A 25038-nucleotide genomic window follows, 5' to 3' on the forward strand; every position below is an offset into this window, starting at 1 on the left:
AGGCTTTAGGCCTATGTCACAGACTCAGTGTTTGGGCCTCTGCATTACCAGGCTGACCCTAACGGCCACAGCAGTGATCCCCAACCTTTTTGGCACCAGGGACTGGTTTTGTGAAAAATAATTTTTTCATGGAAGGTCAAGGGGAGGTGGGGCTTAGGGGTGTGGTGGGAAATGGTTTCAGGATGAAACTGTTCCACCTCAAATCATCAGGCATTAGATTCTCATGAAGAGTGCGCAATCTAGATCCCTCGCATATGCAGTTCATGATAGGGTTTGTGCTCTTCTAAGAATCAAATGTTGCTGCTGATCTGACAGGAGGCAGAGCTCAGGCGATAATGCTTGCTTGCCTGCCACTCACCTCCTGTTGCATGGCCTGGTTCCTAACAGGTCACCAATTGGTATGGGTCCATGGCTCTGGGGTTGGGGATCCCTGGCCCACAGCACTAGGCTGGCGCCTATGGCCCCAGGCTTCAGGTCTGCTCCAGTAGACCCTAGTGGCAGGCTGGACCCCATGGAGTGAGGTTCCAAGACCACTCCTGCAAGATCCAGGCTGCAGGCCTAGACCTATCCCCAGGGACTCAAGCTCCAGGCCTTTCCCATCACTGGGCCAACCTTTGTGAACTCAAGCTCTAGGCCTACCCCGGTGGATGCATGTGCCAGGGCCATTCCAGTGCCTGACCAGCCCCTGCAGACTCAGGCTCAAGGCCCACCAGCTCCAGGTCAGCCCCTGTGGACCTAGGGTTCAGCAAGTCCCCTTGAATATAGGCTGCAGGCCCATCTTCGTATACCCAGGCTCCAAACCCATCCACACAAACCTAATCATCAGGTTCACCCCAGTGGATCCTGGCCTCTGGCCCATCCTTATGGACCCAGGCTCAAGGCCTACCTGTCTGCTGATTCAGGCACAGGCCAGCCAGCCCCTAAACGCTAGCAGCAAGGCCTCCCTCAAACCACGCCATGTGCATATCCACAGGCAAAATAATGAAATTAGACCCTTATCTCACACCATAGACAAAACTAAACTCAAAATGGATTAATGATTAAAATGTAAGACCTAAAACTGTAAAACTACTTGAAGTAAACAAAAGCATTGTTACTTGAAGTAACAATGTTTTTTTTTTTATATGAACCCAAGAGCATAGGTAACAAAAGCAAAAATAGACAAATAGAATTACATCAAACTAAAAAGCTTCTGCACCGCCAAGGAAACAATCAACAGAGTGAAGAGACAACATATGGAGTGGGAGAACATATTTGCAGATCATGCGTCTAATGGGGTTAATACCCAAAATATATAAAGAACTCAAACAATTCAATAGTAAGAAAACAAATAACCCAATTTAAAAATTGACAAATAATATAAATAGACATTTGTCAAAATAAGACATACAAATGGACAACAAGTATATGAACAAAAAATGCTTAACATTCCTAATAATCAGAGAAATGCATTAAAACCACAATGATGTCCAGGTGTGGTGGCTCACGCCAGTAGTCCCAGCACTTTGGGAGGCCAAGGTAGGTGGATCAGCTGAGGTTAAGTGTTTGAGACCAGCCTGGCCAACATGGCAAACCCCATCTCTACTAAAAGTACAAAAAATTAGCTGGGCATGTTGGTGGGCACTTGTAATCCCAGCTACTCAGGAGGCTGAGGCAGGAGAATCACTTAAACCCAGGAGGCAGAGGTTGCAGTGAGCCGTGATGACTCCATTGCACTCCAGCTTGGCCAAAAAGAGTGAAACTCTGTCTCAAAATAAAATAAAATAAAATAAAATAAAATAAAATAAAATAAAATAAAATAAAATAAAATAAAATAAAATAAAATAAAACCAAACCACAATGATGTATCATCTCACACCTGTTAGAATGGCTATTATCAAAAAGACAAAAGATAGCAAGTGTTGGAGAGGATGTGGAGAAATTAGAACCCTTGTACACAGTTGTTGGGAATGTACAGCTATTATGGAAAACAGTATGGAGGTTCCTCAAAAAATTAAAAATAGAATTACCATATAATCCAAAAATCTTACTACTGGGTGTGTATCCTCAGAAAGGAAGATAAAAACTCAGAACCCTATTTCACTCTGCCAAAAGGAAAAAAAAATATTAAGCTGAAAGCTGAGTCATGCAAGAAGCTGCCTTTCCTTTTGTTCCTAAGCCAACAGCTGCAGAGAAAAGGTTATATATCTCCACAGGTAGCTACTCTATGTTCACCTTATCTTATGTAAAGTGCTGAGTGCAAGAAATACACAATTGACTATTCTCCCACCTACTCCTTTTCTCTTGCAACACATGGATTATTGTACCCTCTCTCTTTCCCCTCCAGCCTGCTTTTCCCCTTTAAATATTGAAGCCCTCAAAATCATCTTTGGAGAAAGGCACAGACCACAGACTGTTTGATTCCATGTTCTTTTCTTCTAGGCATGTCCTTAACCTTGTCAAAATAAATTTGTAAACTGATAGAGATCTGTTTCATATACTTTTCGTTCACAATCCAAAGGGTATGAAATAAGTATGTCAAAGAGATACCTGCAATTCCATGTTTATTACAGTATTATTCATGATAGCTAAGAAATGGAATTACCCTAAGTGTCTATCAGTGAATGAATGGATAAAGAAAATGTGGTATGTATACTTAATGGAATACTACTCAGCCTTAAAGAAAGAAGGAAATACTCTCACTTGGGGCAACATGGATGAACCTGGAGGATATTAAGTATAAATAAGCCAGGCATAGAAAGGCAAACACCACTTAATTTTGCTGATGTGTAGAGTTTTAAAACGTTAAATTCATGTAAGTAGGGATTAGAATGGTGGTTACCAGGGGCTGAGAATGAGGGTGGGGTTGAGAAGATGTTGGTCAAAGGACACAAAATTTTAGTTACAAAGAAGGAATAAGTTCAAGAAATCTATTGTAGAAGATGATGACTGTAGTTAATAACAATGTGTCGTATTCCTGAAAATTGCTAAGAAAGTAAATTTCAAGAGTTCTCACTACCAAAAAAAACCCAACAATGTGAGGTAATGTGTATATTAATAGCTTAATTTAGCCTTTCCACAATGTAGACATATATCAAAACAGCACGTTGTACATGATGAATAAGTACGATTTTTATTTACCAATTTAAAAAACAAATAAATACTCTATTTACAAAACAGGCAGTGGCCCAGATTTGGTTCAAGGACTGTATTTTGCCAGCTGCTTTTCTAGAAAATCAAGGATATGAAATCATAAGATTTCATTTTCCCAATTAATCCATTAGTTGGCAGGTGACATGGCCGGGAGGAGATTGCTTGGCATTTGTAACTGGAAGACCTGAGTTCAGGCTCAGATTTCATCGCTTTATAATCCTGGACAAGCATTTAACCTTTCAACAACCATGCACATTTCTTCACTTACAATATGTATTCCAGCTACTTCATGGGGTTGCTGTAAAACCTTAGGGAGAAATATTAGTCAAAGTACTTTGTAAACTAAAGCATTATGTAAGTAGATAAAGTTGTTATTAACAGGTGATAAGTGGGCAGAAAAATTCTCAGGAAGGCATCTAAAATGGTAGCAATAAAAAGCATGTGCATTTGTGAAATCGCTAAACAGTCACTTTTATAATTAAGGGATCCTCTGTCTTTGTATAAAAAGGAACAAGGATATTGTTCAGTCACCACGAAGTCACAGGGCTAAAAATGGGTATAAATAGTGTGAAGACAGTGCAAGAAAGGCTGGGACACTGGACCCCTGGGTGGATTATTCTTGGCTCCACTATTTACTAGCTGTATGACTCAGTTGCATCATTCAAGTTAGCCTTCCCAGAAGAAAATAATACTCTTTACCCCTCAGAGATGCTGTCGGAATTAATGAATCCACCTAATGTGCTTAGGAGAGATTCTGGCAGACCGGAAATATTAAGTAAATATCAACTCTTTTTTTAATTGAAGTGATTCATGAAGTCACATAAATTAGGAGTGGAAGATTCCACAGAAGTCATTTAGTGCACCACCCTCCACCTCTGTGATATCATGGCTCTGTGTTCACTCTGCCTCTGTTTGAACAATTTCTTTATGAGGAAGCTCATTACTTCATACAGAACTTCTCAGTACAGATAATCTATTCACTATTTCACTTGTTAATATAGGAAAGTTGTTTCCTCAAAGAAAAAATAAACCTCTCAACCCAAGAAAGCTTACTGAAAAGCAAAATAAGAAAGAAAAAAAGAAAGCAATAGATGGGGTATATTACCTCCTTTCACTCTTCCTACACATTTCTAAGCCTGAGTAAAACAATGGGCAGTGTCTTGTCACCTTAAGAAATGATGCCAGAATGGCTGAACTAATTTATATTCCCACCAACAGTGTACAAGTGTTCCTATTTCTCCACAGACTCACCAGCATCTGTTGTTTCCTGGCTTTTTAATAATTGCCATTTGACTGGTGTGAAATGGTATCTCCTTGTGATTTTGATTTGCATTTCTCTGATGACCGGTGTTGATAAGCTTTTTTTCTATGTTTTTTGGCCGCATAAATATCTTCTTTTGACAAGTGTCTGTTCATATCCTTTGCCCACTTTTTGATGGTCATCTAGGATCTAGAACCAGAAATACCATTTGACCCAGCAATCCCATTACTGAGTATATACCCAAAGGATTATAAATCATGCTACTATAAAGACACATGCACACGTATGTTTATTGCAGCACTATTCACAATAGCAAAGACTTGGAACCAACCCAAATGCCCATCAGTGATAGACTGGATAAAGAAAATGTGGCACATATACACCATGGAATATTATGCAGCCATGAAATAAATGAGATCATGTCCTTTGCTGGGACATGGATGAAGCTGGAAGCCATCATTCTCAGCAAACTAACACAGGAACAGAAAACCAAACACCACATGTTCTCACTCATAAGTGGGAGTGGAACAATGAGAACATATGGACACAGGGAGGGGGATATCACACACTGGGGCCTGTTGTGGGGTGCAGGGCAAGGGGAGGGAGGGCATTAGGACAAATATCTACTGGATGCGGGTTTTAAACCCAGATGACGGGTTGATATGGGCAGCAAACCGCCATGGCACACGTATACCTATGTAACAAACCTGCACGTTCTACACATGTACCACCCAGAACTTAAAGTAAAAAAGAAGAAGAAAAAAAAAAAAAGAAATGATGCCTACTAGAGGAGGCTTCTAGAATGCAATGGTGTTTAAAAAACCTTCTGTCATCTGCCTCTCAAAGGAATGACTGGAAAATCCAAGCCCATTTCATCTTTCATAGGCAGTGCATGTTCATAATGGCCTCTTGACATTAATAATTAGTATTAAAAAGTTATATTCCAAATATTACTATAGTTAATAATGGTTATATCAACAGTAGAACATGACTACAAACCGAAAGGTCATCTCTGCACAACTGAAAATCGCTAAGTCTAAAGGCTGCATAAATTTTTCCTATAATTATTAACAAACTAAGAAAATAGATCCATTCACTTCATGTTTTTATACATTTATATATAAATATTGTTTATTATAAATGGTATAAGTTTTGTTTTGTTTTCAAACAAATGATGTGATGTAAATTTTCATGCACCACAGGAATCCATTAATTTTTTATCATCTTAAATGTCCTGTGGAGCTTTGTTTTAGGCCATCTCTGAAATGTTCACCATTGATTAATTTTGAGAAGTGCTTTCATATGCTAAAAACCCAAGTGAACTTTCCCTAAGCAAATTAATTTCCCCTTTTGTTTCCAGGCACATGAACAAGGCTTGAGTCCAGTGTGTTTTGGCCATTCCTTGTTCTTTAGATCAAAGGGATCTCTGCTTAGGTGAAGAATGAGAAAGGGCTGGATTGAACAGAGAAAAAATGCATCTTTGCAGACAAATTTACCAAAGGAAGAAAAATAGTCAATAAAATTGAGTTGTCATAAGAGTGGTTTGAAGCCTGTGGCATTGATTGATGAATTTCCTTTGCTGTTACTGAGATAAACCAAAAATACACCTCTAGTTCTTTCACCTCTTAGGTAATTCAACAGAATGCGTTTCACAGACTAAGTGCCAGAACAGCAGCGATCTGCTGAGTTAACAGAACACCATGCTGAAGGTCAGTGTAAAATGTATACATAAAGGCAGAAAAATCATGCTGTTCTCATTAATTAAGCAAAATATCACTTTCTTCTGACACTGCACTGTGAAGAACAATGAATAAGCATTTGGAAAGGGTCTTAAAATTTTGAGCTCACATAGTAAAGTCACTTGGGAATTTGTAGTAATAAATATCACTGTTAACTTTAATGTCAGGTTTATTTTTGTTTGCCTGTACCTACCTCACATGACTTATCGTTATTAGACAAGAATTGCAGTAAATTTTCTTTGATACAGATATATTCATCCATGGATTTCTGGTTGAAAATATGTAAACATTCTGATGACTTCAAGGATATAGGACTAAGCTCTCTTGTAGGCCAATGACATGATTATGTTGGAAAAAACGAACAGCATCAATAGACAATTTGGTCTTCTGTCCAGTTGGTACTACAGAGAATGACTCAATTTTAGCTATTCAACATTTAACACCCTTTGACAATTCTCCTTTAATGTCTAAGTAGCTTTTAGCTGACAATTGTATTACAGGTCAACACATGTCATATTAAGGGCAACATTTTACAAACAATTTATTTCATGGGCTTATCTTGAAATTGCATTTTTAAAGTTAAACAATCAATACTGTTGAAAAAGGCTTTTAATGGCTTCTCTGCACATTAAGTGACCTCCGTTACAGGTTTTCAGATTAAGACTAACAAAAGCACCTTTTGAAGTTGGACTCCATGTATTATAAGGAACCCTGAGTTTTTTTTTTCTGAGAGAAAATCTTGCCTCTTTTCACAAATACTCACTTGTCAACTTTATGCAAAAATGAGATGTTCTTCCTCATTGACATTAGATGCCTTAACTTTCATGAAAGAGGTCAGCCATATCCTCAATGAGGCTAAATGCTAAAGGATATTACACTACCTCTAACAGAAGACATGAAACTGTGGACTCTATGTTTACAAACCCTGCCTCAGTTATAAACCCAAACATCTCCAAAGGCCAGGCATGTAATATGAAGTGAAAAGAACTGGAAATGGAGAAAGTAGTGAGTTTCAGGTCTGGAGTGACAGTATGAAGAGCTCTTAGGACAAGCTTCCCAGTGAAACAACAAAAAAAAATTGGCAAAAATTATGAAAACAAGTATTATAATTATCTAGAAATTTCACTAAGGGCATATAGAAAATGAAGAAATATTTATTCAAGAAAATCTACTAAAACTCCGCTAGAAGAGATAGTCTGTGAAAGTTAAACCACAACCCACTCCCTTCTTTCCCCTGCCTCCCCTCTTCCCAGCACAACTTGACAGAAGCTCCATTTGGGCATCTAAGAAGGTGGTGCTTTCTCTCCCCTCAGCTCCCAACCAAGAATTACTGTATCTCACTGGGAAGCAGAGGCTACTCACATTTCTCATCCCTTTTAGCTCCAAATTGAAGATACTAAATTCTCAATGAGTGAAGCCAAGAAGCTGGGGACTCCTTTTTTTCATATAGGTCCTACCGATAAGATTGAGGTACCACCCTAGATATTTCAGGATAAGAATGCCATGACCACCCTCACTCAAATTTGCTCGAGGGAAGAGGTTCCACACTAAGAAAGTCAAACCGGACCTCGGAGGATACCAGTCTACCTCATGACCAGAGTAGTGGTTCAGAGAGTTTGCCCAGGAGGAAAGATAGTCTGTGAAAGAGATCTCTGAAGCTCTCCTCAAAGGAACTAAGTGTATTTGAAACGGAGTCTGGGAAAGTTCAAGCCTAAGGGTTCTCTCAAAAACAATAGCCCCAGTTAATTAAGAGCAGCAAATTAAGCCATTGGCCAGCTAGTGCCCTAAAGAGAACCAGGGAATGAAACAGCTAAGAAGAGCCCTCAGGGGGTCAGAACAAAACTCAAAGGCTAGCTCCAAAAGTAACCCTTGCTGAAATTTAATTGGATCAGACTGCTGAGCAATTTATAGCCCAGGGCATTGTTGAAAACAATGATAGCACAATCACCTGGCAAATAGTGAGGTCAAACATTCAGGGGCATAATACCAAATGAACTAGACAGCCAAAAAAGAAAGATGGAGGAAAGACAGTCAAAGAGACCCATGCTAAGACCAGTGTCATCCTAGGTGGTTGTACAAAGTTTCAAGGCTATGTCCTCTGAGGAATGATACCAAAGGCTTCACACTGCATTGGGGAAATAGACTTCACTAAAATAACCTAGCCAAATTACAAAGCAAATGAAAAATTAAGGAACAACAAAACAAGGCCTAGAGAGAACGGAATGGAGTCAGTACCCAGAGTTGTTAGATAAAGACAATATGTTATCTAAGATGTTCAGTTTTTAATCAAAAAAAATTATGAGACATGCAAAGAAATAAGAACATGTAACCCATATGCAAGAAAAAATAGCAGGCAACAGAAGCTGACTGTGAGATGTCAGCTTTAACAGACAAGGACTTCAAAATAGCTGCTACAAATATGTTCAAAGAACTAAAGGAAATGGTGCTTAAAGAAAAAAAGGTAAGTATGAGGGCGATGTTTCATCAGATAAAGAATATATAAATAAAAAGAGAGAAATTATTTAAAAGAGCCATATGAAAATTCTGGAATTGAAAAGTATAATAAAATGAAAAATTTAATAGGAGAGCTCAACAGTAGATTTGAACTGGCAGAAGAAATAATCAGTGAACTTAAAGAGAGATTGACAGGGATATGCAACCTGTAAAACAGAGAAAAAATAGAATGAACAGAGACTTTGAGAAATGTGGCATACTTTAAGTTCACCAACTACATACAATGGGAATATCAGAGAGAGAGGAGAAAGAGAGAGGAGCGGCAAATATTTGAAAGAAATAATATCTAAAACCTACAGACTTACTGAAAAATGCATAGTTTTCTTTTCTCAGCTGTTTCAAAAAGCAATATTTTAAAAAGAATATGCATAAGTTGTATTCTTAGACCTATAACATACACATTTCTATTGTACATTTCATATTACATTTCTATGTAATACATTTGACAAAAACATCACAAAGAAAGGGGATAGAACTGAGTTGTACTGCAGTGAAGAAAATGAGACCAGGTAAAATAAAATCACAAGAAAAGTGAGAGAGACCCACAAATTGTAAATATAAAAAATTCTGTAAATATATACTTCCTCTCTATTCTTTTCTTGGATTCTTTAATAGGCATAAAATTATAATAATGTACTGTTGAATTTGGAATATATATAGATGTAGTATTAATAACATTAAAAACACATAAATGAGAAGTAACATTTCTATCTTTCTAGAAATAAGTTTATATATATCTAAAGTGTTATGTATACCATGTATTTTGGGGTGTTAAATTGTAAATGGTAAGTATTACAGCAACCACTAAGAAAATATTTTAAAAATACAGTAAAAATTGCTCTAGAAACTAAAATGTTACACTAGAAAATATTCACTTCACACAAAAGAAAGAAGTTAAGCAGGAGTACAGGAACAAACATAATACGAGACATATAAAAATCAAGAAGTACTAAGCAATATAGTTTGGATGTTTATCCTCTCCAAATCTCATGGTGAAATGTAATTTCCAATGTTGGAGAAGGAGCCTTGTTGGAGGTGTTTGGGTCATGGAGGTGAATCCCTCATGAATGGCTTAGCACCATCTACTTAGTGATGAGTGAGTTCTCAGTTTATATGAGATCTGGTTGTTTAAAAGAGCATGGCACCTCCCTCTTCTCTCTTGCCATGTGATGCACTGGCTCTCTTTTACCTTCTGCCATGATTGTAAGCTTCTTAAGGCCTCACCAGAAGCTGAGCATATACCAGGGCCATGCTTCCTGTACAGCCTATAGAAATATGATCCAATTAAAACCTCTCTTCTTTATAAATTACCTAGTCTCAAGTATTCTTTTATGGCAACACAAATGGACTGACACAGAAAATTGGCACTAAGGAGTGGGGCATTGCTATAAAGATACCTAAAAATGTGAAAGCATTTTTGGAACTGGGTAATGGGAACAGGTGGGAAAAGTTGAGAGGGCTCAGAAGAAGACAGGAAAATGAGTTTGGAAAGTTTGCAAGTTCTTAGACAATTGTTGAGTGGTTGTGACCAAAATACTGATAGAAATATGGACAGAGAAGCCCAGGCTGAGGAGGCCTCAGATGCAAATAAGAAAGTTATTGGGAAATGGAGCAAAGGTCACACTTGTTATGCCCTAGCAAAGAACTTGGCTGCATTGTGTCCATGCTCTAGGGACTTGTGAAAGTATGAACTTAAGAGTGATGATGTAGGGTATCTGACAGAAGAAATTTGTGAGGAGCAAAGTGTTCAAGTGGCAGCATGACTGCTTCTAACAGCCTACAGTTAGATGCAGGGGCAAAGGAATGACTTAAAGTTGAAACTCATATTTAAAAGGGAAGCAGAGCAGAAAAGTTTGGAAAATTTGCAGACTGACCCAGTGGTACAGAAAGAATCCAAGCAGGCTGTGGAAGAACCACCTGCTAAAGAGATTAGCATGACAAAAAGGAAGCCAAATGCTAATATCCAAGGAAAAAATGCCTTGAAGCAATTTTAGAAATCTTTGAGGAAGCTCTTCCCATCACAGGCCCAGAGGCCTAGGAGGAAAGAAAGGCTTCAGGGGCAGGCACAGGGCACCACTGCCCTGCTCAGCCTTAGAATACTGCTCCCTACATCCCTGCCTCTCTGCACCAGCCACATCAAAGGGCCCCAGGGACATCTCTGGTTGCTGCTTTGGAGAATGTAAGCTGCTGTAAGCCTTGGCAGCTTCCATGTTGTGTTAAGTCTGCAGGTGCACAGAATGCAACAGTGAAGGAGGGTTGCCATCTTCCACCTAGATTCCAGAGGATGTATGGGAAAGCCTGGGTACCCAGAGGCAGAAGGCCTTACCAGAAGCACCCAGAGAAACTCTACTTGTGAAGTGCTGAAGGGAAATGTGGGATTGAAGTCACCATACAGAGTCCCCACCAAGGAACTGCCTAATGGAACTGTGGGAAGGGGGTTGCTGTCCTCCAGACTCAAGAATGGTAGAGTCGCCAGCGTCTTGTAACCTCAGCATGGAAAAACTGTAGGCACTCAACTATAACCTGTGAGAGTAGCCATGGGGGCTGCACCCTGCAAAGCCACAGGAGTGGAGCTGCCAAAGGCCATAAGAGCCCACCCCTTGCAGCAGGACATAAAATCAAGGATTATGTTGGAATCTTAAGACTTAATGCCTGCCTTGCTGGGATTCAGACTTACATGAGGCCTATTACCCCCTTCTTTTGGACAATTTCTCCTTTTTGGCGTAGGAATGTTTACCCAATGTCTGTACCTCCATTGTATCTTGGAAGTAAATAACTTGTTTTTGATTTTACAGGCTCATAGCTGGAAACAACTTGGCCTTGAGTCTCAGAAGAGACTTTGGACACTGGACTTCGAGTTGATGCTGAAATGAGTTGAGACTTTTGGGGACTATTGGAAAGTGATGATTGCATTTTTCAATGTGAGAAGGATATGAGATTTTGGGGGCTAGGGGCAGAATGATATAGTTTGGATGTTTATCCCTTCCAAATCTCATGTTGAAATGTAATTCCCAGTGTTGGAGGTAGAGTGTTGTGGGAGGTGTTTTGGTTTGGGGGCAGATTCTTCATCAATGGCTTAGTGCCAACTCCTTGATGATGAGTGAGTTCAAGTTCTCACTCAGTTCATGTGAGATCTTTTTTTTTTTCAAAGGATGAGCACCCCCTAGCTTGTTCTGTCTCTTATCATGCAATGTGCTGGCTTCCTCTTTGCCTTCTGCCATGATTGTAAGCTATCTGAGGCCTCACCTGAAGGGGAGCAGATGCCAGCACCATGCTTCCTATTTAGCCTGCAGAACTGTGAGCCAATTAAATCTCTCTTCTTGATAAATTACCCAGTCTCAGGTATTCCTTTATAATGACAGAAGAGCAGACTAATACATATGGCAGCTGTAATTCATCTATATTAAAAATAGTAGTAACATGCAGCTAGAGTAAACAGTCCAATCAAAAGTCAGAGTTTGTAATACTGGATAAAAAGTAATATGCTATTATGTGGTGTGAATAAGAGACACAGTGGAGTTTGAAGGATATAAATAGGTTGAAAGTAAAAGGATAAAAACAGATTAAAAATAAAAAACATGCAAAAAGCAAGAATTAGAAAGCTAGAGTGACTATACTAATATCAAACAAAATAAACTTTAAAACAAAAAATAGAGGTCAACTCAAGATGGATTAAAGACTTAAAACTAAGACCTCAAACTATGAAAATTCTAGAAGATAACATTGGAAAACCCGTTCTAGACATTGGCTTAGGCAAAGACCTCATGACCAACAACCCAAAAGCAAATGCAATGAAAACAAAGATAAATAGGTGTGACTTAGTTAAACTAAAGTACTTCTGCACAGCAAAAGGAATAGTCAGCAGAATAAACAGACAACCCACAAAGCGGGAGAAAATCTTCACAATCTATACACCTGACAAAGACTAAAATCCAGAATCTACAAGGAACTCAAACAAAATTAGCAAGAAAAAAGCAAACAATCCCATTGAAAAGTGTGCTAAGGACATAAATAGACAATTCTGAAAAGAAGATATACAAATGGCCAAGAAACATTTTTAAAAAATGCTCGACATCACTAAGGATCAGGGAAATGCAAATCAAAACCACAATGTGATACCACCTTACTCCTGCAAGAATGGCCATAATCAAAAAATAAAAAAAAATAGATGTTGGCATAAATGTGGTGAAAAGGGAACACTACTACACTGCTAGTGAGAATGTGAACTAGTACAACCACTATTGAAAACAGTGTGGAGAGTCCTTAAAGAACTAAAAGTAGAACTACCATTTGATCCAGCAATCCCACTACTGGGTATCTACCCAGAGGAAAAGAAGTCACCATACAAAAATGATACTTGAACACGCATGTTTACAGCAGCACAATTCTCAGTTGCAAAAATACAAAACCAGCCCAAATGCCCATCAATCAATAAGTGGATAAAGAAATTGTGCAACATATATATGTCTATATATGTATATATATGTGTGTATATATGTATATATACACATATATACATATACGTATATGTGTGTACACATATATACATATACATATATGTGTGTACACACACATGTGTGTACATGCATACACATGCATACACACATATATACACACATATATACACACATGTATACACACGTGTATATGTGTGTATACGTACACACACACGTGTATGTGCGTGTATACGTGCACACACACGTGTATGTGTGTGTATACGTACACACACACGTGTATGTGTGTGTATACATATATACACACATATACATACAGATATACATATATACATATATACACATATACACATATATACATATATACATATATGTATATATGTGCCATATATATGTATACATATATGTGCCATATATATGTATACATATATGTGCCATATATATGTATACATATATGTGCCATATATATGTATACATATATGTGCCATATATATGTGTATATGTGCCATATATATGTGTATATTATATGTGTATATATGTATATACATATATATGTGCCATATATATGTGTATATTATATGTGTATATATGTATATACATATATATACATATACATGTGCCATGTATATACGTGTATATATATATGTATATATATAACACTACTCAGCCATAAAAAGAAACAAATTAATGGCATTCACAGCAACCTGGATGGAACTGGAGACCATTTTTTGAAGTGAAGTAACTTAGAAATGGAAAACCAAACATCATATGTTCTCACTCATAAGTGGGAGCTAAGCTATGAGGATGCAAAGGCATGAGAACAATACAGTATTCTTTGGGGACTCAGGGAAAAGGATGGGAACAGGTTGAGGGATAAGAGACTACAAACTGGGTTCAGTGTATACTGCTCAGGTAATGGGTGCACCAAAATCTCACAAATCACCACTAAAGAACTTACTCATGTAACCAAATACCAACTGTTCCCCCAAACCTAGGGAAATTAAAAAAATAAAAAAGCACAATGAGTTACTTCACTCACTAGGAAGGCTATAAGCCAAAAGACAGATAATAACAAGTTTTGGTGAAGTAGGGAGATCGAAACCTTCCTATACCACTAGTGGGAATGTAAAATGGTGCAGCTGCTTTGGAAAACAGTTTGGCAGTTCCTCAGGCAGTTACATATAGAGTTACCATATGTAGTAGTACCAGCAATTCTACTTCTTGGTTTATACCAAAGAATAATAAAATTATATGTCCACACAAAACTTGTATGCAAATGTTTATAACAGTATTATTCATAACAGTCAAAAAGTAGAAACAATGCAAACCTTCCTCAACTCATGAATGAACAAAACCCACACAATGCAATATTACTTAGCAATAAAAAGAAATACAATACTGATACATAATATGACATGAATCACCTTGAAAATATGCTAAGTGAAAGAATCCAGACACAACAGGCCATATATTGTATGATTCCATTTTTATGAGTAAACAAATGTATGTAAAGAGAAAATAGCCAGGTGTAGTGGCTCATACCTGTAATCACAGCACTTTGGGAGGCTGAGGTGGGGGGACCACTAGGTCAGGATTTCAAGACCAGCCTGGCCAACATGGTGAAACCCAGTCTCTACTAAAAATGGAAAAATTAGCTGAGAGTGGTGGCGGGTGCCTGTAATCTCAGCTACTCAAGAGGCTGAGGCAGGAGAATCGTTTGAACCCGGGAGGCGGAGAGGTTGCAGTGAGCCGAGATCACTCCATTGCACTCCAGCCTGGGCGACAGGGCAAGACTCCGTTTCAAAAAAAAAAAAAAAAAAAAAAAAAAACAAAGCTATTGGGACAAGAAGTAGATTAGCAGTTGCCTAGGCCTAAGGAGGATGGTATGCCTGGGAAGTGATGACTAAGCAAAGTGGAGTTTCTTTTGAGGTAATAAAAATGTTCTAAAATTGATACAAATGTGAGAATCTTGAGGGTATTGAGAATAACCAACAATCTAAATATCTAGGTATTTTTTTATAATACTAATTTTAGGTTTTCAGCATGGATTAATAATGCAAATATCTTAAGCCTCAAATAAACATGATAATCTTATAATGAATAAATTGTACCTTATGAAACATTTTCTTAAAATTATAATATTTGGAGCGGGGAACCAACCGGAATATTTTAAAAGTGATGTATTCACTGCTAAGAGCTAGTGGATTTAAGCTTCAGGCCTGGCTTTACTACTAATTTACTCTGTGGCCTTGAGAAATCTCTTTTCTTCATTGCTGTTTTGTTTTCTCACCTGAAAAATGAGTAGAATGGGCAATATATCTTCTCAGGTTTATCATAGCTCTTGGGTTCTGCGATTTCACAAATGGAAGCTTAGTCACTTAGTTTGGCAGAATAGAAAAACACTTGTACATTCTATTTGTTTAGCATATGGTGCAAATACATTCACCAGTTGATATTTTATTTTGGTCCTATCACTAGGATCTGACAGATGATTATTGAAAGAGTGTTTCCAATGTCAAAATGTGCCAATGTCAAAGTGTTTTTCATTGGCCTGGCATTTTGCGTGCCGTTTAAAAAATTAGGATGAAGATGGTGAATCAGCTCCTTTGGAATTAATATCCAGTTCAACTAAAAAGTAAGAGCCATGGTCTTGAATTAGATACTAGATTGACTCAGCAGCCCCTGGAGGAATTATGTGATGCTGAGGGTGGCAGTTGGGAACTAGGAATGCAGTTACTCATACCACGGTAACCTTAAAATATATCTCGGAATTAGGTGCTGCAGAGGATTTTGGGAGAAAAAGATACCAGCGACTTTTTGAGGTTGCTGGGGTCTTTTTGTTTTTTTCTGTGTTTGTTTACTTTTGGTTTTTACATTTTAAATATTGAGAAGAAATATGTGGGGCTTTAAGCAACAAAATAGTGATGCTGGGGCTGAAAACACATAGCCAGAATTGCAAAATCAAAACAGCTTTGATAATCAATTTAAGATGAAGGGTGAGGGAGAAAGTGTGTTTCTCAGGATTATAGATTGGAAAAACGTGTAGATTCCGTAGATTCCAAAACTGTCAATAGAAATGGGAAATTTGAAAGACAGAACATATTTTTGGACATCTACCTTTAGTCATGTTGAAACAGGACATTTTGGCCACGTGCAGATGGGAATACCTAACAGGCACTTGGGCATCAAGTTTACAGTCCAGAGATGGTAGTTATGAAAAGATAGCCGTGGCTGAAACCAGGGGATATGGAGTGAGGGCAGTGAGCGAGAAGCAACCAGGCTTTTGGACAGATCTTTGGGAAACATCACATTAAAGTGCCTGGTGGGGAAAACAGAAGTTCAGGTTAGAGACAAAAAAGTAATGATCCCAAAGGCAGGAGAAGAATTAAAGAGAGACTAGTGTTTTTAAAGCCCTGGAGAAATAGCTAATTTTCAGAAGCTGTGTGGGGGTGTGAGTTCAGTTCTACCAAGAGCTAAGTAATATAAGCAGTGAAAACATGTCAGTAGATTTGGTGACACTAATAAGAGAAATTTCAGCAAAAATGGTAAGAAACGTGAGCTAGAGAGAAGAGATAGTATACTTTTTAATTTTTTTTTAATTTGGTAGTAAAAGAAGGGACATAGTGGCAGTTTGACAGGGAGTGAAGGTCAAGAAAAATATTATTTATTTTTTTATTTGCTTTTTAAAGGACAGTTGGAGAAACGTAAGTATTTGTTGGATGGAGAACTATATGCAAGAATATAAGAGTGTAGTGGTGAATAGCACTTTCATTAACAATGATGACCATTTGTTGTCTTTTGTGATAGAGCAATTTTGAAGGAGCATGATATTAAAGTAATTGAGAAACCAGCTGTCAGTTCCCAATAAAGTAAGGGCAGGAAATTACAGTAAGTTTCCAGGAATTAATCTGAATTTAAAAATTTGGTGTGTCTCTCACTGAATTGTCCTGAAGGAGAAATGCTTTAAAGTGTTAAGTAATGTTTAAAAATTTTGCATGAACATGGGTGGATTGAAAACATCAGCAAGAACTTATGGGGCAGCAAGTGGGTACCAGGGGACTTCAGACTAATAAAACGTGGGCAAAGGAACATAGATGTTTGAAGAATGGCAAGCATTCTAATGAAACCGGGAAAAGGGCAGTGACTGGGAGTGAGGGCTGATCAGGAGGCAGTATGGAGAGGGCAGATGTAGAAGACTTTGAATTGGATACTTGGGTGCAATTATACCTACTGGATTAATTTTTATCTTTTGGATCACTCTTTTGGTTGAGTTTTCATGAAGTAAACTGCTTGCTTATCAGAGTCACAGTTTCAACAGAAATATACACCAGTCCCTCAGTGTACGTTGCAGACTGGTTCCAGAACAAAACCACCACCCCGACAAGCCCCTCTCCCTGCCCTTGAGCACGCTAATATCTCCTGCATATTCAAGTCCCACAGTTGGCCTGGGAGGAACTTGCCCATACGAAAACTGCATCCCACGAGTACTCTATTTTCTATCTGAGTTTGGTTGAATGAAATCCACTTGTAAGTGGATCTGTTCAATTCAAACCCATGTTGTTCAGGGGTCAACTGTGTGTGTGTGTGTGTGTGTGTGTGTGTGTGTGTGTCTGCGTGTGTGTCCACTAACATTACAGATGCTGTGGTGCTGCTGGGTGCCGTCTGGAATATGAAATGAAAGCAGTCTCTGGTCTATAAAGAAGTGTAATATGTAAGTTTGCAAAGACAGAAATTTCCCTTCTGCTTTTAGCACTTTCTCATTTCCTAACAAACCACTAGAGTGAGCTTGTCTTATTTTTACAAAAGAAAGAAATCATACTCTGGAGTCTCTAAACTAAAAAAAACATACATCCTGGGGGTGTCACTAGTCAGATCCATCTTTAATTACTTCTATTTTAAAAATTTACCCTGAGAATCTAGGTGTTTTTCTTTTTTAAGCTATCACTTCTAACTAGTTTTCCTAAGATTTTGGAAGAACTGATTAAGACAGACATGTTAATCCAAACAAATAATTTTGCTGAAGAGAAATAGAAAATTATGTAGTCAGTATCCTTGAAGTTTAAAGGTATTTTAATGAGAAACATTGTTTATTATTGTTTTTCTTGATTGACAGGCTTTCCTCTCAGAGGATAATTGCTATAATCACAGGAATTGTATAAAATTTGAAACTTGAAGCTATTCTGAGCTATTTTAATAATGTACTCTTTTGTCAAAATGAATTAAAAAATAGTTGAGAAATGGTATAAAAACCCAAGTTTTAAAAACACACTTCGATTTATTCATCTAATTATATTTCTAGCGGCAAAAATGTCCAGATACATAAAACATTTCATTATATATTTGAAACTAAGGCTTACATCTCTTGCTATTTTGGGGACCCTGGGACATGCAGATTATTGACTGAGCACTTCTTTTTTATTTTTATTTTGGTGAAATGCATCATTTATTTTTTTTCAACTTTTATTTTAGGCTCAGTGGGCACATGTGAAGGTTTGTTACATGGGTAAATTGTGTGTCATTAAGATTTGGTGTGAGAATAATCCCATGACCCAGGTATTGCACATAGTACCTGACAAGTAGTTTTCCATCTCTTGCCTCTTCCCACACTCCATCTCTAGCAGTCTCCAGTGTCTGTTGTTCCCACCTTTATGTCCATGTGTACCCAATGTTTAGCTCCCACTTCTAAGTGACAACATGTGGTAGTTAGCTCAGGACAAAGGCCTCCAGCTATATCTGTATCTGCAAAGAACATGATTTTATTCCTTTTATAGCTGTGTAGTATTCCGTGGTGTATATACACCACATTTTCTTTACCCAGTCCACCATAGATGGGAATCTGGGTTAATTCCAGATCTTTGATATTGTGAATAGTGCTGTGATGAAGAGACGAGTACATGTGTCTTTTTGATAGAACGATCTATATTCCTTTGTGTATATACCCAGTAATGGGATTGCTGGATTAAATAGCAGTTCTGTTTTAATTTATTTGAGAAATCTCTAAGCTGCTTTCCACAGTGGCTGAACTAATTTGCATTCCCACCAGCAGTGTATAAGTTTTCCCTTTTTTTCTGCAACGTTGCCAACATATTTTTTTTTTAAATCTTAACAAATGGCCATTCTGACTAGTGTGAGATGGTGTCTTATTGTGGTCTTGATTTGCATTTCTCTGATAATTACTGATGTTGAGCATTTTTTCATATATTTGTTGGCCACATGTATGTCTTCTTTTAAGAAGTGTCTGTTCCACATGCACACATATGTTTATTGTGGCACTATTCACAATAGCAAAGACTTGGAACCAACCCAAATGTCCAACAATGATAGACTGAATTAAGAAAATGTGGCACATATACACCATGGAATACTATGCAGCCATAAAAAATGATGAGTTCATGTCCTTTGTAGGGACATGGATGAAGCTGAAAACCATCATTCTCAGCAAACTATCACAAGGACAAAAAACCAAACACTGCATGTTCTCACTCATAGGTGGGAATTGAACAATGAGAACACATGGACACAGGAAGGGGAACATCACACACCAGGGCCTGTTGTGGGGTGGTGGGGTGGGGGAGGGATAGCATTAGGAGATATACCTAACGCTAAATGATGTGTTAATGGGTGCAGCACACCAACATGGCACATGTATACATATGTAACTAACCTGCACGTTGTGCACATGTACCCTAAACCTTAAAGTATAAAAAAAAAAAAAAAAAAGTGTCTGTTCATGGCCTTTGCCCATTTTTTAATGGGGTTTTTTTTGCTTGTTGATTTCTTAACGGGGTGGTTTTTTGCTTGTTTACTTTTTAATGTGGTTATTTGTTTTTTGCTTTTTGATTTCTTTAAGTTCCTTATAGATTCTGAATATTAGATCTTTGTTGGATGTATTGTTTGTGAATATTCTCTCCCATTCTGTAGGTTGTCTGTTTACTTTGTTTATAGTCTCTTTTTCTGTGAAGAAGCTCTTTAGTTTAATCAGGTCCCACTTGTCAATTTTTGTTTTTGTTGCAATTGCTTTTGGGGGCTTAGACAAAAATTCTTTGTCAAGGATGATATCCAGAATGATATTTCCTAGGTTTTCTTCTAGGATGTTTATATTTTTAGGTCATACCTTTAAGTATTTAATCCATCTTGAGTTAATTTGTATATATGGTAAAACGTAGGGGTCTAGTTTCTTTCTTCTGCATATGGCTAGTCAGTTACCCTGCATCATTTATTGAACAGGAAGTCCTTTCCTCATTGCTTGTTGTTTTTGTTGAAGACCAGATGGTGGTAGATGTGCAGCTTTATTTCTGGGTTCTCTATTCTGTTCCATTGGTCTGTGTCTGTTTTTGTACCAGTACCATCCTGTTTTGGCTACTGTGGCCTTGTAGTATAGTTTGGAGTTGGGTAATATGATGCCTCTGGCTTTGTTATTTTTGCTTAGAATTGCTCTGGCTATTCAGGCTCTTTTTTTGGTTCCATATTAATTTTATAATAGTTTTTTTCTAATTGTGCAAAAAATGACATTGATAATTTGATAAGAGTAACACTGAATCTATAGACTGCTTTGGGCAGTACGGCCATTTTAATGATATTGATTCTTCTAATCCATGAGCATAGGATGATTTTCCCATTTGTTTGTGTCATCTATAATTTATTTCAGCAGTATTATGTAGTTCTCTTTGTAGAGATCTTTCACCTCTTTGGTTAGATGTAATCCTAAAATGTGTGTGTGTTTGTGTGTGTGTGTTGTGTTATTTGGCTCTCATCTTGAGTATTATTGGTGTACAGAAATGCTACTGATTTTTTTTTGTTTGTTTTTTTTGAGATGGAATCTCGCTCTGTGGCCCAGGCGGGAGTGCAGTGGCGCAATCTCGGCTCACTGCAAGCTCCGCCTCCTGGGTTCACGCCATTCTCCTGCCTCAGCCTCCCGAGTAGCTGGGACTACAGGCGCCCGCCATCACGCCTGGCTAATTTTTTTGTATTTTTAGTAGAGACGGGGTTTCACCGTGTTAGCCAGGATGGTCTCGATCTCCTGACCTCGTGATCCACCCGCCTCGGCCTCCCAAAGTGCTGGGATTACAAGCGTGAGCCACTGCGCCCGGCCCTGGAAATGCTACTGATTTTTATACATTGATTTTGTATCCCGAAACTTTATTAAAGTTGTTTATCAGCTCTAGGAGCCTTTTTGTGGAGTCTTTAGAATTTTCTAGGTATAGAATCATATCATCAGTGAAGAAAAATAGTTTGACTTCTTTTTTTACTATCTGGATGCCTTTTATTTCTTTCTCTTGCCTGATTGCTTTGGCTAGGACATCCAGTACAATGTTGAATGGGAGTGGTGAGATTGGACATCCTTGTCTTGTTTGTCTTGTTCCAGTTCTTAAGGGGAATGCTTCCAGCTCTTGTTTTTTCAGTATAATGTTGACTGTGGGTTTGTCAGAGATGGCTCTTATTATTTTGAGGTATGTTACTTTGATGCCTAGTTTGTTGAGGGTTTTTATCAGGATGGGATGTTGTATTTTATGAAAAGCTTTTTCTGCATCTATTGAGATGATAGTATGGTTTTCTTTTTAATTCTGTTTATGTGGTGAATCACATTAATTGATTTGTATATGTTCCACCAGCCCTGCATCTTAAAATTAAAGCCTACTTGATAGTAGTGAATCAACTTTTTGGTGTGCTGTTGGATTCAGTTTGCTAATATTTTATTGGGGTTTTTTTGCATCTATGTTTATCAGCGATGTTGGCATGCAGTTTGTTGTTGTTGTTGTTGTGTGTTTGCCAGATTTTGGTATCACAGTGATGCTGGCTACATAGAAAGAGTTAGGAAGGAGTCCCTACTCCTTTATTTTTTGGAGTAGTTTCTGCAGGATTTTGGCACCAGCTCTTCATTGTACCTCTGAGAGAATGGCCAAGCACTTTTTATAAGAGTGGCCCAGAGCTCAGCCCAAGCCGCTTTCTCTATCTGCACATTCTCCCTGGTTGGCTGATCTTTACTTTCTGATGGTCACTCTGAAGACCCTAAAATGTCTATCTCTTGCCCTGATATTGCCAATAACTCCAACTTAACACTCAACTATTTTCTTGACTTCTCCATTTGAATGACTAAAGGGCATCCAGCATCATCCCCACTTCCTAGCTCCAGCCCATTCTTCCCCTCCTTAGTCTTCCCCTTCCATACACTAGAAGCATCCATACACCTAGGAACTCAAGCCATAATCATTGTAGTTATTCCTGATTTCTCTCTTTTCTTCATGTAATTCATTAACATATGCTGTTTAACATACATGTACAATTTTGTAGCCTACTTTTTATATACAGTTACATTATTGGCCTTAATTTCCATGTGCTTAAATATTTCTTGCAAATCTAGTTTATGAAGGATGCATGAGTCTTCATGATGTAGATGTCCAAAGTTTATTTCACTATTCCTATACTGCTGGGCATGTAAATTCTCTCTTAAGTCTTGCCATCACCTGCTGTTAAGTATATTGAATACTTATCTGATGCTCACTGTGTGTAGGCACTCTTCTAGCATTTTACCAGTGATAACACACTTAATCCTTGAATCTATGAGGTAAATACAATTATTATCTCTATTTTGCAGATAAGGAACCTGAGGCAGAGAAAGACTAAACTCACTCAATATTACATAGCTGGAAAGGGGAGCCTATGGGGTTCAAACCAGTGGTCTGACTCCAGTCCCAGGTTCTAAATTGAACCATTCTGTTTGCTTAGACATACCATCTTGTACCATAACCATATTTTATACCAGTCTGCATGCAACTGTGGTCATTTCTTTAAAATATGTCTCTAGAAGTGGATCAGTAGTCATACATTTAAAATGCTTTGTGTGAAACATATTACAAAATTATCCTCCAGAAAGATTATACAACTTTATCAACTTATACTCCCCCTGTCAGTTGCTGAGTGTCCTCTGTACTGTGTGTACATTAACATTGGGTGTAGTAATTTCAAAACTCTTGAGCAATTTACTCAAAATAAATGGTATAATAGTTATAGTTGCATCTCTTTGATTACCAGAGAAGCTTATTTTTCTCATGCGTATGCTAACAATTGTATCTTTTCATATGGCTTTTGCAAACTTTGCTACTGGAATTTTCATTTTTTCATATTGTAGTACAGAAACTCATTATGTATTGAGATTAATACTTGAGTTTGTCAAATACATTGCTTACCTTTTTTTTTTAAACACACTTGTCATTTGGTTTTTAAATTATGTTTATGTTATTTACTGAAGTACAGACATTTTAAAATTTGTTTCTGCAGCTGCATGATACTTAAATAGTCATAGAGACAATCACCTATATTTCACTATAAATTAATTTTCATCCTATTAATTATTGGGAGTCTCACTCTACTTACTTAATACTTAGATATATATTGTAATTCTTTGAGCAAGTAAAACAAAGTCATTGATCTTAATTTTACATGTAGAATTCTACCTACAACCATAAGATCTAATTCGGAGTCCATTTTAAATAAAAATAAATTTGTAAAAACTTTTTCTTTAATAGTTTCAGGATCCAAGATGTTGATAAACGTATGGAGTAAGTCTAAAGCCTGCACTCCATACAGTATTTACTGAATATACTCTAAATTAATGCTGCATTGTTTGGCAATCCACTTCAAGTTTAGCCTTCAAGTTGTTTACTAAAAAAGTTCCTCAATTTTTTTTGTTGTTTGTTTGTTTTGAAACAGGGTCTCACTCTGTCACCCCGGCTGGAGTGCAATGGTGTGATTATAGCTCACTGCTGCCTCGAACTCCTGGCCTCCAGTGATCTCTCACCCCAACCTCCCAAATAGCTGGGACTACAGGTGCTTGCCACCACATCCAACTAATTTTTAAAATATTTTGTAGAGATGGGGCACTTGTTTCTTTTGCCCAGGCTGGCCTCGAACTCCTGGGCTCAAGCAATCCTTCTGCCTCAGCCTCCCAAAGTGCTACGAGTACAGGTGTGAGCCACCGCACCAGGCCCCACTCTTCAGTTTCATGTTTCACTTTTCTTGGTTTCTGTTTCTTCCACACAACCTTCACAGATGTTGAGTCACCTGGCTGCTGTGATGAGTGACTCTCTTCTCCACCGATGTTCTGTGTCATGCTTTTCCCCCAACCCCCCACAGAAACCTAATTCATTGTCTTCAAGTGGCTTGATAAAGTTTAGTAGAAATTTCATTTGACTGAAAGTCAGAAAGTTTCTTCTGGGCCTGCTGGATTTGCTGAGGTGCCTCAGGAACTGCTGCAAAGGGAAAGCCACACAGATGGGCTTGGGGTTTCCCACTCTGCCTCACTCAACTGCCTTGCTTTATTTGTTTTCTCTAGAGCTGGATTAAGGAGCAAGCCTCCCAAGTAGGTCCCTTCTGCACCCACGTAAGGGGGATGGACACGAAAATTCTTGAAAATATGTTAAAATGGAAGAAACAGAACTTATCCAAGGGTCTCTCTCAGAGCGTGGTACTGGCTGAAGTTGGCAGAAATAAGCCCTCTCTGGTGGGGGCTGGGAGCTGCCTCTCACTCTGCCCTCCGCAGCCTGCTGCTTGCTCAGGTAACTCTTGATGCTTAAACTGATTCCTAAAGTGAGTGGGTCCAGCCGAATACAGGACCTTTATTTTGCTCAGAGGCTGGATGACTTCTGCCATTAGCATTTGATAGGTTCTTACTTTTCTACAGACAGCATTTAGCTCCTCCTTAAAAACTGTTAAATAAGTATTTAAAGAATTAATTCAGTACCCCCTGTACAATGGGTACTGAACTAAGATTCCTGCAGGTCTGGGTTCAATCCTGGTTTTATGTATTTACATTCCACACTGAAGTGTGTAGAAATTAAGGAGAATCATGTCTGCAATCCATTCTCTGGTGTTTCCATTTAACAAAATTATATATGTACATTTTCACAGAAACACATGTACATGCAGAGAAAAGGATAAA

The 25038-nt window shown here is 38.0% G+C and overlaps 1 protein-coding gene across 6 annotated transcripts in view, besides 1 other annotated feature; it reads right to left on the bottom strand.

Moving 5' to 3' along the window:
• The window catches only part of SPHKAP (SPHK1 interactor, AKAP domain containing), a 201733-nt gene that overhangs the window by 99003 nt on the left and 77692 nt on the right, over positions 1 to 25038 (bottom strand). The gene's annotated exons all lie outside the window — the stretch shown is intronic.
• Positions 24035 to 24214: an enhancer, noted in NCBI's record as "active region_17204". NCBI's record gives its function as "activates an Ori minimal core promoter by ATAC-STARR-seq in GM12878 lymphoblastoid cells {active_cell/tissue: GM12878}" and the evidence as "EXISTENCE:reporter gene assay evidence [ECO:0000049][PMID:35858748]".

This window comes from Homo sapiens, chromosome 2, assembly GCF_000001405.40.
Source record: "Homo sapiens chromosome 2, GRCh38.p14 Primary Assembly".
Classification (NCBI taxonomy): Eukaryota; Metazoa; Chordata; class Mammalia; order Primates; family Hominidae; genus Homo; species Homo sapiens.